At 43.7% G+C, this 13498-nt stretch overlaps 1 protein-coding gene across 2 annotated transcripts in view; it reads right to left on the bottom strand.

The window, feature by feature from the left end:
- Positions 1 to 13498, bottom strand: part of CROCC2 (ciliary rootlet coiled-coil, rootletin family member 2) — an 86976-nt gene that overhangs the window by 44500 nt on the left and 28978 nt on the right. For both annotated transcript variants that reach the window (XM_024453115.2, NM_001351305.2), the window contains exons 14-15: positions 13224 to 13454; positions 2559 to 2752 (exon numbers count right to left, since the gene is read on the bottom strand). In XM_024453115.2, coding sequence (XP_024308883.1) covers positions 2559 to 2752; positions 13224 to 13454 — 425 coding nt within the window. The remainder of the gene's footprint in view (positions 1 to 2558; positions 2753 to 13223; positions 13455 to 13498) is intronic.

Raw genomic sequence — 13498 nt, 5'->3', positions numbered from 1 at the left:
GGATGAGGAAACTATTTTCTATTCTCATGTCATGAAAAGAGTCCCCCCAAAAAGCCACGCACGCAACTGGACCCCCACATACGGCGTGATTCCATCATGTGAAAAGCCTGCTTGGTGCATTTGTGCATGGAGATGCCACTGTTCAGAAGACACCTGGAGCACACACCAACACACAGCAGTGCCCATTCCTGGGAGGGAGGGGTGATAAAAGACCTCACATTTCTAACAGTTAATTCATCAATGATCCAACCATCAATGGCAAGTTTCATTGTTGCTGTTCGCTGCCCTGTGCTGGGTGTTTATCCGTGAACAAAGCAAGGCATTAAACAACACGTACAAACACATCACAAAGACTCAAACACAGACACCCATATGAACACACAAATGGTAGGTGCACAACCCCAAACAGATGAGGTCAGGGTGGGCCATGGGCCACAGAGACCCTGGCAGCTCCTGATCAGGCCCTGCCTCCATTTCTCTTCCATCTTTCTGGCCACCGCCACCCCCTTCATCGGGGTAGAGCACATCCAAGCCTTCTGGGGCTCGCCAGGGCTCGCAGAGGGAAGTCCTCTGGGCTCAGGTCAGAACCCCCAGAGACCTCACTCTGCTGCATGCTACTCTGCTCCCTCTCCGGTCCCTCCTCCCGTAAGTGTTCCTCATGGCCCCCATCCCAACACTCCCAGGCTTGAGTGCTCTCTTCACCTGGCAGCTCTTCCCCCTTCTGCGTGTAGGAAACCTTTCCTTCAAGTCAGCCTGGAAACCCCTCCTCCTAGAGGCCCGCCTGGTCTCCTGTAAGGGATGTGGCCTCTGCTGCTCAGACATCAGATGTCTTTGCCTGAAGCTTGGGGACCTGAGCGTGTGCCCAGCCTCTCTCTCCTTGGGGGCCCAGGAGAAACTCCAGGGGCTCTGCCATTGAGACCCTGGACTGGAGGCCTGGCCCACCACGGGGTGCTCTGAGCAAGGCAGGGCTGCTTGGGGTGTGGGCTGGCGGGGACCTTGGTCCATCTTGCTGGCTGACAAGTGGGCCAGGACTCCATGAAGGGAGGGAGCAGGTCCCCACTGCTGAAGCCTTGTCAGGGCCTGAGGATCCGAGAGTGGAGCCCTTCATAAAGCAGACCCGTGGGGAGGCCTCATCAGAAGCAAGGAGCTGCAGCACGGTTTCCCACACTTAATGGTCCTGAATGTTACCTGCGAGCTCATCAATGGCAGCTTCCACGCTCTCTGGCCCCACTGGGCCAGTCAGATAAACACACAGAGTGTGTCCGGGCAGACGTGGCTTCAGGTCAAGCCCCTCTGTCACCAGAGGCTCAATGGGCCATCAGGATGCCCTGTTCAGTGGCCTGTGATGCTGGGGCCTGCAGGGCTGCCATGTGCAGGGACCTCGGGTCAGTGGCAGGGCTGAGGTAGGGGCAGCTGTCAGGGCAGCACCCAGGCTGCTGAGGGCTCTGGCTGGGGCCTGTGTTCTGGGCAGTAGACCCTGACAGCAGGAAAGGGACCTCCACCCCGGTCCTTGGAGCCCCCAGGGCCCAGGAGGGAGCATGGGCAGGAGCCCAACCCGCAGCAGCCTCCCTCAGGTTTTCCTTGCTGTGCAAGCTTTCATTTGGAGAAGAGGTTTGTCTGTGAAGCTCGAGGATCCCAGACTCCAAGGTTTCTCATGCCTCCCAGATTCTAGAATTCCAGGAGGAAATCTTTTCAACAAAAATGCTTAGCAGTGCCTGAGCAGGGCCCTAAGCAGGGCCTATAAGGCACAGAAGCCATCAGCTGTTGGGTTTCTGCAGAGGCTGCAGGACCCATTCAGATCACCAGGCAACAGCCTACACACATCCTGTTCTTGCCTGCGAGTGCCCGTCCCAACTTCTGGGAGTTGCCCTGAGGGCCTTTGGGCTCACCCGCCCACACTCTCCACCTCATGTGTCCCTGGGCTGACCCTGCTTCTGGCTCCAGGGATGGGTGTGCAGCCCAAGCCTGGGATCAGGCCCTGTGACTCCCAGCTCCTAGGATTGGTACAGGGATGTCACACAGCTCAAGACGGCCCATGGCAGCCGCTCTCAGGCCTTGCAGGGAGAAGGGTGCTCTGCATCTGCTGGAAGGGGGACCCTGGGGTGGCTGCTGGCCATCTTGCCACCTCTCAGAGTAAGCCTGCCTGGGAAAAAGATCTCAGAGTCAAGCTGTGCTGAGGGAGAGAGAAGCAGGATTCTGAGGGCACTGTGGGAGTGCCTGAATCCAGCCATACCTGAAGTTGGATTCACCCTGAACTCCTCAGCTCCATGAGCAAGACATTCCACATCTGCCTTCCCCTGGTCTGAGCTGTGTTTCTGCACTTGCCACCACCTCTTTCAGGAGGGTGACCCCAGCGCTTTCACTGGGTTGACCTCTTCCAGATGCCCTCCCCCAACCCAAAGGCTCTGTGCTCGCCTCCACTCACAGCCCATTTCATGGGCACACGCTCCCTCCCAGTCCTATGTCATGGTGCGATTGTCCCCATACCCTGCCACACTGCAGACTCTCTGTGGGCAAGGACACGTGGGACATGCCCTGACTGGCAGGCCCTTGCATACCTGAGATCAGCTGCCTCTTCAGCTGCGAGCCGGCCCTGCCTCTCCAAGGCCTCCTGCTTGGCCAGCAGCTGGGCCCGCTCCTCAGACAGAGCATCCTTTCCTTGCAGGGCTTGCTGCAGAGTGCCCATCTGGGCCTCCTGGTCCTGCAGGCTCTGAGCCAGCTGCTCCTCCAGGGCCTGTTTCTGGCATGTGACCTAGGGGAGGTGGGGAGGGGACAGTCGGCAGAGAAAGAGAGTAAGTGGGTGGGTGAGCATGGGCCTCTTGAGGGGAAGAAAGGACTTCAGAAGAAGTGATTTTATGCAGAATGGCATGGAGGTGAAAGTGGAAGAAGTGGGTGGATCTCAGAAACACATGTATGTTTTTACAATAGAGGGGGCATCCACTCAGGTACCCTGAGTGGATGGAGATGGTATTGAACTGGGCACTCCTAGGTAGGAGCCAACTGTCAATCTAAATGGTACCATTTGTTGGTCCTCCAGTGTCCAGGGGTCAGGAAATGCTGCATAGAAATGGCAATAGAAGGTAACAGAAAACTAGATTGCTGCAGACCAACACTTCCACCAAGAACATCATAAAAATCTAGAAAGAATATATCATAAGAATATGCAAGACACCTCAGACAGCTGAACAGACAGCTGGGACCGAAGGAGTGAAGATCTTGGAGAGAAGGGAGGTACAGAGGAATGAGCCCAGCATTTAATGTCTCCTCTTCCTCAAGGCATTTGCTCATTTAAGAGTTTGGGCTGAAAAATTGAGATGCCAAGAAGAACTTCTGGCAGTACCATGGCCTGAGGGGGACAAAAGTTAGGGTTCAGAGCCACCAAAACAGAGAGGCTCTGATAAATATCACAAGACATCAAGTTGTATTCACAGCAGGGCTTGACCCTAGTACTAGCGGTGAATCAGAAATAGACCATCCTTCATAGACACCGAAGCTCACGTGCGAATCATCCCAGTCACGGATTGGATTACAGTGACCTTCTACGTTCACTGCCTGCCAGGGTCAAAAGTAAATTCTGGCCAGCTGAGGCGGCTCACGCCTATAATCCCAGCACTTTGGGAAGCCAAGGCAGGCAGATCACTTGAGGTCAGGAGTTCAAGACCAGCCTGGCAACATGGTGAAACCCCGTCTCTACTAAAAATACAAAAATTAGCCAGGCACGATGGCACACACCTGTAATCCCAGCTATTCAGGAGGCCGAGGCAGGAGAATCGCTTGAACCCAGGAGGCAGAGGTTATGGTGAGCCAAGATCATGCCACTGCACTCCAGCCTGGGTGACAGAGTGAGACCCTCTCTCAAAAACAAACAAACAAACAACAACAAGAACAAAAATAAATGCTTTCTGGAAGAAGAATCGCATCATCAAGATCCTCAAATTATTTCTATAATTTATTATATATAAGATTGACTAATCAAGATCTGGCCTATCAGGAGACAGGACCACATGACAAAAAAACCACTAATAAGAACAGAAAATAGATATAGATCCTCCTACCCTGGTTATCTAGATATTGGAGTTATCAGACACAAACTTTAAAATAGCTGATTCACGTGTTCAAGAAGATGGATAGCAAGACGTAAAGTTTAACAATAGAACTGGATACTAAATATAAAAAAGACAATTTAAAATATAATAACCAAAAGTAAAAAAAAAATTAATAGACAATGGCAGATTAGACAGAATAAAAGAAAGGACTAATAACCTGGAAGAGAGACAAAGAATGTGTTCAGACTGAATCATAAAGAGATAGAAGGATGGATAGAAAATACACAAAAGAATGTTATAGACATATAGGACAAGCTAAAAATGCCCATCATATGTGTAATTACAGCCTCAAAAGGAGATGAGAGGGCACATTTGAACAGATACAGGCCAAGAATGTTCCAAATCTAATAAAATACATCTAGCCACAGACTTAAAATGAGCTGTAACCCCCAAAAGGATAAATTAAAAGAAAATGTCACATATATACAACTTAGTAAAGTTTCTGAATACCAAAGATAAAGAAAAATGTTTTTTAAAAAACAAAGGGAAAAAGACACATAGGCGTGAAATGAACAAGACTGACATTTGCTTTCTATGCAACAATGAAGGCCAGAAGATGATGGAATGACTTCATTAAATTTCTGAAAGAAAATAATGGCTATTTTAGTATTCTATACCCAGCGAAAACATTCTTCAAAAGTAAAAACCAGGACTTTCTGCTTCTGATAATGGTGAGGTGGGTTGTTGAAAACCAACCCTCCCATCTAAAGCAACTAGAAAAGCAATACAACGTACAATCCAATAATCTGTTTAAAAGCATTAGAGAGATACTAACGCAGTCAGGTCCCAGGTGTTCAGGCTACAGAGAGAAATATATTAAAGTGAGTCTGAAATTCTATGAATACAACAGATTTCCCCTTTGAGGTATCTGCCAAGTCCTAAGTGACAGGGGGTGTAGAGCCTCAGTATCCAAGAATAAAGCTTTAGGCCGGGCTTGGTGGCTAATGCCTGTAATCCCAGCACTTAGGGAGGCCGAGGTGGGCAGATCACCTGAGCTCGGGAGTTCGAGACCAACCTGGCCAACATGGCGAAACCCCATCTCTACTAAAAATACAAAAATTAGCCGGGCATATGCCTGTAATCCCAGCTACTCAGGAGGCTGAGGCAGGAGAATTGCTTGAACCCAGGAGGCGGAGGTTGCAGTGAGCCGAGATCACCCCATTGCACTCCATCCTGGGCGACAGAGCAAGACTCTGCTTAAAAATTAAAAAAAAAAAAAAAAAGCTTTAGCTAAAAGACTGGGAACATGGCCTAAGATTTCAGCAGGCTTATGAGATTGAAGAGATATAACTTAGAGTTCAGATATACCAAAGCAGCCGGGGAACGAAAAGAAGAGCGGATATCAGAGAGCAAGGAAATGCCTTGAGGTAAGCCTGAGATTGTATATTGCGATTTTAAAAAATGGTACTGCTGGCTGAGCGCAAAATCCCAGCACTTTGGGAGGCTGAGGCAGGTGGATCACTTGAACCCAGGAGTTTGAGACCAGCCTGGGCAACATGGCAAAACCCCATTTCTACAAAAAACACAAAAATTAGCTGGGCGTGGTCATGTGTGCCTGTAGTCCCAGCTACTCGGGAGGCTGATGTGGGAGGATCACTTGAGCCCAGAAGGTCGAGGCTGCAGTGAACCATGGTCATGCCACTGCACTCCAGCCTGGGCAACAAAGACCCTGTCTCAGAAAATAAAATAAATGGTACTGCTTTGAAAAAGTATGTATTTTTTATAATTCAGAAGTAGTAAAGGACCAGGAGACTACGAATCTGAACAAAAAAATAGCAGCTGACAGTCTGAGAAGTCAGATAGTACTTTTGAAAGTCCTATCTGAAATAAAGATAATAAAAAAAAGACAATAAATAAAAAGAAAATAAAACCTGGAGTTTAGGGCTAACTAAAGAGTAGGAACCCTGGTAAACACCTGAGATTTCCCATTAGGAACATAGGAGAGTTATATTATACCCTGGGATAAGCCAGAAATAGACGACTCCTCACAAAAGACTGAAGTACAGTTACAAAGCAGCTAAATCCTGGACTGGATAAAGGCAATTTATCCCTATTCTGATTTCCCAAAGTCAAAAGCAAATTCCCTCTAGAAGAAGCTTATATCATTCAAAGCCTTAAATTATCTCTATGAATTATATCTACAAAAACACAAAGTCTGTCATTCAATCAAAAATTATTAAGCATAATAAAAAAACAAACAATATTAAGCATACTAGGAGACAAGGCCAAACTACTGAAAATAAATAAATAAAAGACAATAGAAATAGCTCATTAGGGGATCCAGATGTTAGAGTTATCAGACAAAGACCCAAAAAGTATTGTAATTAATATGTTTAAAAACATACTCAAGAAGGAAAAGAATGTTACCAAATAACTGAAATGTTTGTGAAAAGATGATTGAGTGTGTGTGTGTGAATGGTTAAAAATAATCATTTAAAAGTAAAAAGTATTAATAAAGTAATGTACGGTTTATAACAACACACACAGAAATAAAATATAGAACAACAAGAGCAAAAAGTATGGAAGAGATGTCTTAGTAAATTTGTGCTGCTATAACAAAGTACCTGAGACTGGGTAATTTATAAAGAACAGAAATTTATTAATTTATCTTCTCACAGTTCTAGAGACTGGGAAGTCCAAAATCAAGGTGCTGGCAGGTTCAGCTGTCTATCAAGGACTACTCTCTGCTTCCAAGGCTGTGCCTTGATGCTGCATTTTCCGGATGAGAAGAATGCTGCACCTTCACATGGTGGAAGGCATAAGGGAAAGTGAGACACAAATGATGCTGCAAGCCCCTTTCATAAAGGCTTTAATCTCGCTGATGAGGGTGGAACCCTTATGGCCTAAATCACCTCTTAAAGGTCCCATCTCTTAATACTATCACAATTAGTAAGTTTCAACACCTACATTTTGGAGGGGACACATTCGAAACATAGCAAGGGATGAATGGAATGTATTGCTGGAAGGGTCTTACATTGTTTGTGAAGTAATATAATATTTGGATATAGACTGTGCATATCATAATTTTAGGGTAATCACTAAAACTAACAAAAAGAAACACAGTTTCATTCTTCTACATGTGGCTTGACAATTATCCCAGCACCATTTCTTGAATAGAGTGTCCTTTCTTTACTTTATGTTTTTGATTGTTTTGTCGAACATCAGTTGACTGTAAGTATTTGGGTTTATTTCTGGGTTCTCTATTCTGTTTCATTGGTCTATGTGCCTATTTTTATACCAGTACCATGCTGTTTTGGTAACTGTTACCTTATAGTATAGTTTGAAGTTGGGTAATGTGATGCCTCCAGATTTGCTTTTTGCATGTTCTTGCTTTGGCTCTGTGGCTTCTTTTTTGGTTCCATATGAAATTTAGGATTTTTTTCTAGTTCTGTGAAGAATGGTGATGATATTTTGATGGGAATTGCATTGAATTTGTGTATTGATTTTGGCAGTATGGCCATTTCCACAATATTGATTCTACTCGTCCATGAGCATAGGATGTGTTTCCATTTGTTTGTGTCGTCTATGATTTCTTTCAGCAGTGTTTTGTAGTTTTCCTTGTAGAAGTCTTTCACATCCTTGGTTAGGCATATTCCTAAGTATTTTTTTTTGCATCTATTGTGAAAGGGGTTGAATTCTTGATTTGATTCTCAGCTTAGTCCCTGTTGGTGTACAGCAGAGCTACTGATTTGTGTACACTAATTTTGTATCCCGAAACTTTGCTGAATTCATTTACCAGATCTAGGAGGTTTTGGGAGGAGTCTTTAGGTATATGATTATATCATCGGAAAACAGTGAGAGTTTGACTTCCTCTTTACTGATTTGGATGCCTTTTATTTCTTTCTCTTGTCTGATTGCTCCGGCTAAGAATTCCAGTTCTGTGTTGAATAGAAGTGGTAAGAGTGGGCATCCTTGTCTTCTTCCAGTTCTCAGGGTGAATGCTTTCAACTTTTCCCCATTCACTGTAATGTTGGCTATGGGTTTGTCATAGATGGCTTTTATTACCTTAAGGTATGTCCCTTCAATGCCGACTTTCCTGAGGGTTTTAATCATAAAGGGATGCTGGATTTTGTCAAACGCTTTTTCTGCGTCTATTGAGATGATCATGTGATTTTTGTTTTTAATTCTGTTTATGTGGTATATCATATTTATTGACTTATGTATGTTAAACCATCCCTGCATCCCTGGTATGAAACCCACTTGATCATGGTGGCACACACTTTAAATAAGCAGACATAGACAAGTTGAAGGTAAATATATGAAAAGGATATACCACGGAAACACTAAGCATAAGAAAATGGAAGTGGCTATATCAGTATCAAAAAAGTAGATATCAAAAAAGTAGATATCAAAAAAGAGTATTGCTAGAGATAAGAGGAGATGTTTTATAATGATAAAATACCAATTCCTCATGAAGAAATAAAATACTAAATATATATACACCTAATAATAGAAATTCAAAACACATGAAGCAAAAATTGGCTGTGGAAGAAACTAAGGGGAGATCTAGTGGAAGAAACAGACAATTCCATTATCACAGCTAGAGATTGTAATGCCCTTCTGTCACTGACTGATGCAGCAAGTAGACAAAAACAACCAATCAAAGAAATAAATCAACACACAAAAAAACCCCAGTAAGGACTTAGAAGATTTAAACAGCACTACTAAGCAACTTGATTTAATTTATATTTATAGAACAATGCACTCAGCAATAGCATAATACACATTCTTTTGATGTGTTCAAGATAGACAACAGACTGGGACATAATACATTTAAATCCATTCAAATAATACAGAGTATGTCCTCCGATCGTGATGGAATTATGTTAGAAATTGATAACAATTAGACATTTAGAAAACCCTATTTGGAAGTTAGGCCATATATGTCCAAATAATCCACGGGGCAAAGAATAAATCACATGGGGAAAGAGAAAATAGTTTGAATTGACTAATAATAAAAACACAACATGCAAAATTATTAGGATGCAGATGAAGAAACATAAATAAAAACTAATAAGAAATTGTAATAGATTTTATATCTGTTAAAGAAATTGAATTCATTATCAAATGCTTTCTCACAAAGAAAACCCCAGACTCACATTATTTCATTAGTGAATTCTGCCAAACATTTAAGAAATAAGTAATACCAATTTTACACACACACTTTCAGGAAACAGAGGAAGAGAGACTACTTTCCAGTGTATTTTAGGAGCACAACTCTGATTCCAAATCTGATGATTCCAAGGAAAGAAAATTACAGAAATATTACTCACAAATATAGATGCAAAAATCTTTAACAAAATATTTATAAGTTGAATAAAAAATATATAAAATGGATACTAACTCACGACAAAGTAGGGCTTATTATGTATGCAAGTTTAACATCTAAAAAATTAATCAGTGTAATTCACTACATTAACAACATGAGGAGAACAATGATGTGATCATCTTAATAGTTCCAGAAAAAGAATTTAGCAGAACCCAGTACCCATTTATAATTTTTTAAAAATGTCAGCATACTAGGAATGAAGGGAACTTCCTTACTCTGATAAAGGGCATCTATGAAAAGCCTACAGATAACATCATATTTAATGGTGAAACATCAAATTATTTCCCCATGATTGCCTTGGGTGGAAGTATGGCCACTCTCACCACTTATATTCAACTTTGTTCTGCAGGTCTTAGTGCAATAAGATAAGAAGAAGAAATAAAAGATATTCAGATCAGAAAAAAAGTAAAACTATTGTTACAGATGAATAATTATATAAACATACAACCTTAGTACTTATAAGTGAATTTGTCAAGGTCACATGACTCAAAATAAACATATGAAATTGTATTTCTATAATAATGAACAATAAGAAAATGACATTAAAACCGTAATATAATTCATGATATAAAAATCTAGAATTAACCTAATCAAAGATGTGGAAGAAAACTCTACATTGAAAACTACAAACATGGCTGAGAGAAAGAAAGTAAAGACATGGAGAGATATACCATATTCATGGATGTAATATTCAGTATATTTAAGATGTCCATTTCCTCAAGTTGATCTATAAATTCTAAACAATTTTAATCAAACTCCTAGTAGGCTATTTTGCAGGGGAGGGAAGAAGAAATTGACAAGATGATTCTAAAATGTATATGCATATGCAAAGGATTTAGAACAGCCAAAACGATCTTGAAAAAGAACAAGGTGGATGTGTGTACACTACTCAATTTCAAGACTTACTAAAAAGCTATCATAATCAAGACAGTGTGGTTTTGGTGAAAGAATGAATAGATTGACTTGCACAGATCAACAAATCCCACATATATGATCCGTTTATTTTCAACAAGTTGCCACATTTAATCAAGGACCAAAGGAGAGACTTGAAAAAAATGGTGCTGGAAAAACTGGGTATTAGTATGAAAAATAATGGACCTTAGTTCTTACATCATACCATACACATGTGGTCCTCACACGTTAGTGTGCAGCAGGATCCCAAGGAGGGCTAATTAAAATCCAGATTTCTGGGCCCCGCCCACAGAGTTTCTGATTCAGTAAGTCTTGTGTGAGGCATGAGCATTTGCATTTTTACCAAGTCCCCAGGTGTATCAGTCTGTTCTCACCCTGCTGTAAAGAACTACCTGAGACTGGGTAATTTATGAAGAAAAGAGATTTAACAGACTCACAGTTCACAGGCTTAATAGAAAGCATGACTGGGAGACCTCAGGAAACTTACAATCATGGCGGAAGGTGAAGGGAGAAGCAAGCACCTTCTTCACATGGTGGCAGGAGAGAGGGAGTGAAGGGAGAAGTGCCACACACTTTTAAACCATCAGATCTTGTGTGAACTCACTCAACATCAAGAGAACAGCAAGGGAGAAATCTGGCCCCATGAACAAATCACCTCCCACCAGGCCCCTCCTCCAATTTGACATGAGATTTAAGTGGGGAGACAGATTCAAACCATATCACCTGGTGATGTTTATGCTGCTAGTCTGGGAAGCACACGTGGAGAACCCCTGCTGTCCATAAAAATAAACTTGAAATGGATCATAGATCCAAATGTGAAAGCCAGATGAAAATGTAGGAGGATATCTTCTTGTCCTTGGGGTAGGCAAAAATTTTTCAGACAGAACCTAGAAAATACTAATTGTAAAACTAAAAAAAGAAATAGATAAATTGGAGTTTGCCAAAGTTAAAATTTTATGTCCATCCATAAAAAATATCATTGAGAAAATGTACAGGCAGCCACAACCTTGGGGAAAATAGTCATAGGACATGTATCTGACAAGGTACTTGTATCCATGATATATAAATTCCTGTATATTCATAACCAAAATGCAAAAGCCCAGTTTAAAAAATAGGAAAAAGATTTGAACATTTGATAAAATAAAGCATACGAATATCCAATACATGCATGAAAATGTGTTCAATATCTTCAGTTATGAGGGAAATGCAAATGAAATCCTCAGTGATGTATCACTTCACATATACAGAATAGCTAAAAAAACAAAAAACAAAACCCAAAAAAACAGACAATACCAAATGTCGAGAAGGCAGAGGAGCAACTGGAACTCTTCTACACTGCTGGCTGCAGCAAAGTGATTGAACCACTTTTGGAAAGCTGCCTGCTTTTTCGGAAAGCTGCTTGGTTGTTCCCTATAAAAGTTCAACACACACCTATACAGTGAGTGCACAGTTTTGGTCCTAAGTATTTAGTTAGGAAAAATAAAAATATATGTATGCGACTTGTACAAGAAGGTTTATAGCAGCCTTGTGCATCACAGTCCCATATCAGTCGCCTCCCAGCAGGCCCCTCCTCCAATTTGACATGAGATTTGGGTGGGGACACAAATCTAAACCATATCACCAAGTGTGTGTCACACAATGCAACATAAGTACAGGGCCAAGGCAGTAGAAGGGAGTCACATCACTTACATAATGGACCTAGACATAAGCCACAATGCTCTTTGTAGGCAGGGTTCAGGCAGAGAATTCACATCACCTGGGTGCTGGTCCCAGTGATATGTAAAAGTGCCCTTTGTAGGCAGGGTCAAGGAAGGACCTTGTAGGCAGGACCAGTATTGGAAACATTGTTGCTGGACAATCCAAATGTCCAGCAACAGGTGGATGAGTAAGCAGATGTGGTTTACTCATCCCAAGGAATATAACTATGCAGTTAAAAAGAAAGGGCTTAGTGATACACTGAACAACATGTATGGATCTCCAAGACATGATGCTGAGAGAGAGAAGCTGGACACAAAAGCGTCCACACTGCATGGCTCCATTTATAAGGAATTCGGAAACAGGTGCATCCAGTCCGTGGTGCTGCACATCAGAGCAGAGGTCACCTGGGTGGGAGCCGGGGGCTTTGGGCAATGGCTGAAGGCACGTGGGGGAACCTGCTGGACTGACAAAAATGTTCTGTGTCTTGATCCTGGTGGCGGCTACCTGGCTTTGTACAATTGTCAAAATTCATTGATACTGTACACTGACTTATTAAATGTCAATAGAAAAAGAGGAAAAAGGTGACCCCAGAAAAGGACAAGGCAGAATCTGAAAACGGAAGGAGGGTTGAGCTGTCCTGAATGTGACGGGGGCTGCGGAATCTGAGTCACAGGGGCCTGAAACTCAGCATGGACAGGGTTTTCACACGGATGAACGAGGCAGGATTGGAAAAAACCAAGACTGTTTTTTTCTCCAGTGAGTTGAGCTTCCTCAACAAAAGATGGGGAAATTGGGAATAAATGAGTGAGGCACCAGTGAATGTGCAGTCGCAGAGTTCAGCTGTGTGGATGTGGACCAGGGAGAAACAAGACAGAGGAGGAAACAGCAAAGCTCACTAAGAGCCCAGTGTGCAGAAGTCACTGGCCTGAGGCCCGGGCTCCCCTGCCAAGTGGCGGGATGGATATGGTGGCCAGGCCTGATGGGAATCTTCTTCTCTGCATACCTTCCCCCTGCCCCCACCCCCACGGGGAGGCCAGCACTGGGCCTGATCCGTTACCAAGACAGAAAGAGCTGATGTGGGCATCCTGAGCCTGCCTGACTCCCAGAAGTACCTTAGGCAAGACCTGCCACCCAGCCGCATCCCAGACGGCGGCAGCATGCCCTGCAGACGTCCTCACCTGGCCCACCTGCTCCTGGAGCTGGGCCTTCTCTCGCCCCAGCAGGGCTGCCTGCCCCTCCAGCTGCTCCTGCCGCTGCTCCAGGCGTCCGCAGGCCTGCTGCAGGCCCCTGCGCTCTGCCCGCTCCAGCGCCAGCTGCTGCTCCGCCTGTGCCAGCTGCTCCCCGGCCCGGGCCCGTTCCTGCTCCAGAGTCTTCCGCTGTTCCCGCAGCTGGTCCCGCTCCTGCTCCAGCTGCCACCAGGTGTCGGGGGCTCTGCATCCACTCCCCCCATCCT

Source organism: Homo sapiens, chromosome 2 (genome assembly GCF_000001405.40).
Source record: "Homo sapiens chromosome 2, GRCh38.p14 Primary Assembly".
Taxonomy (NCBI): Eukaryota; Metazoa; Chordata; class Mammalia; order Primates; family Hominidae; genus Homo; species Homo sapiens.
The sequence above is the reverse complement of the archived record's forward strand: the minus strand, read 5'-3'. Positions and strand labels throughout refer to the sequence as shown.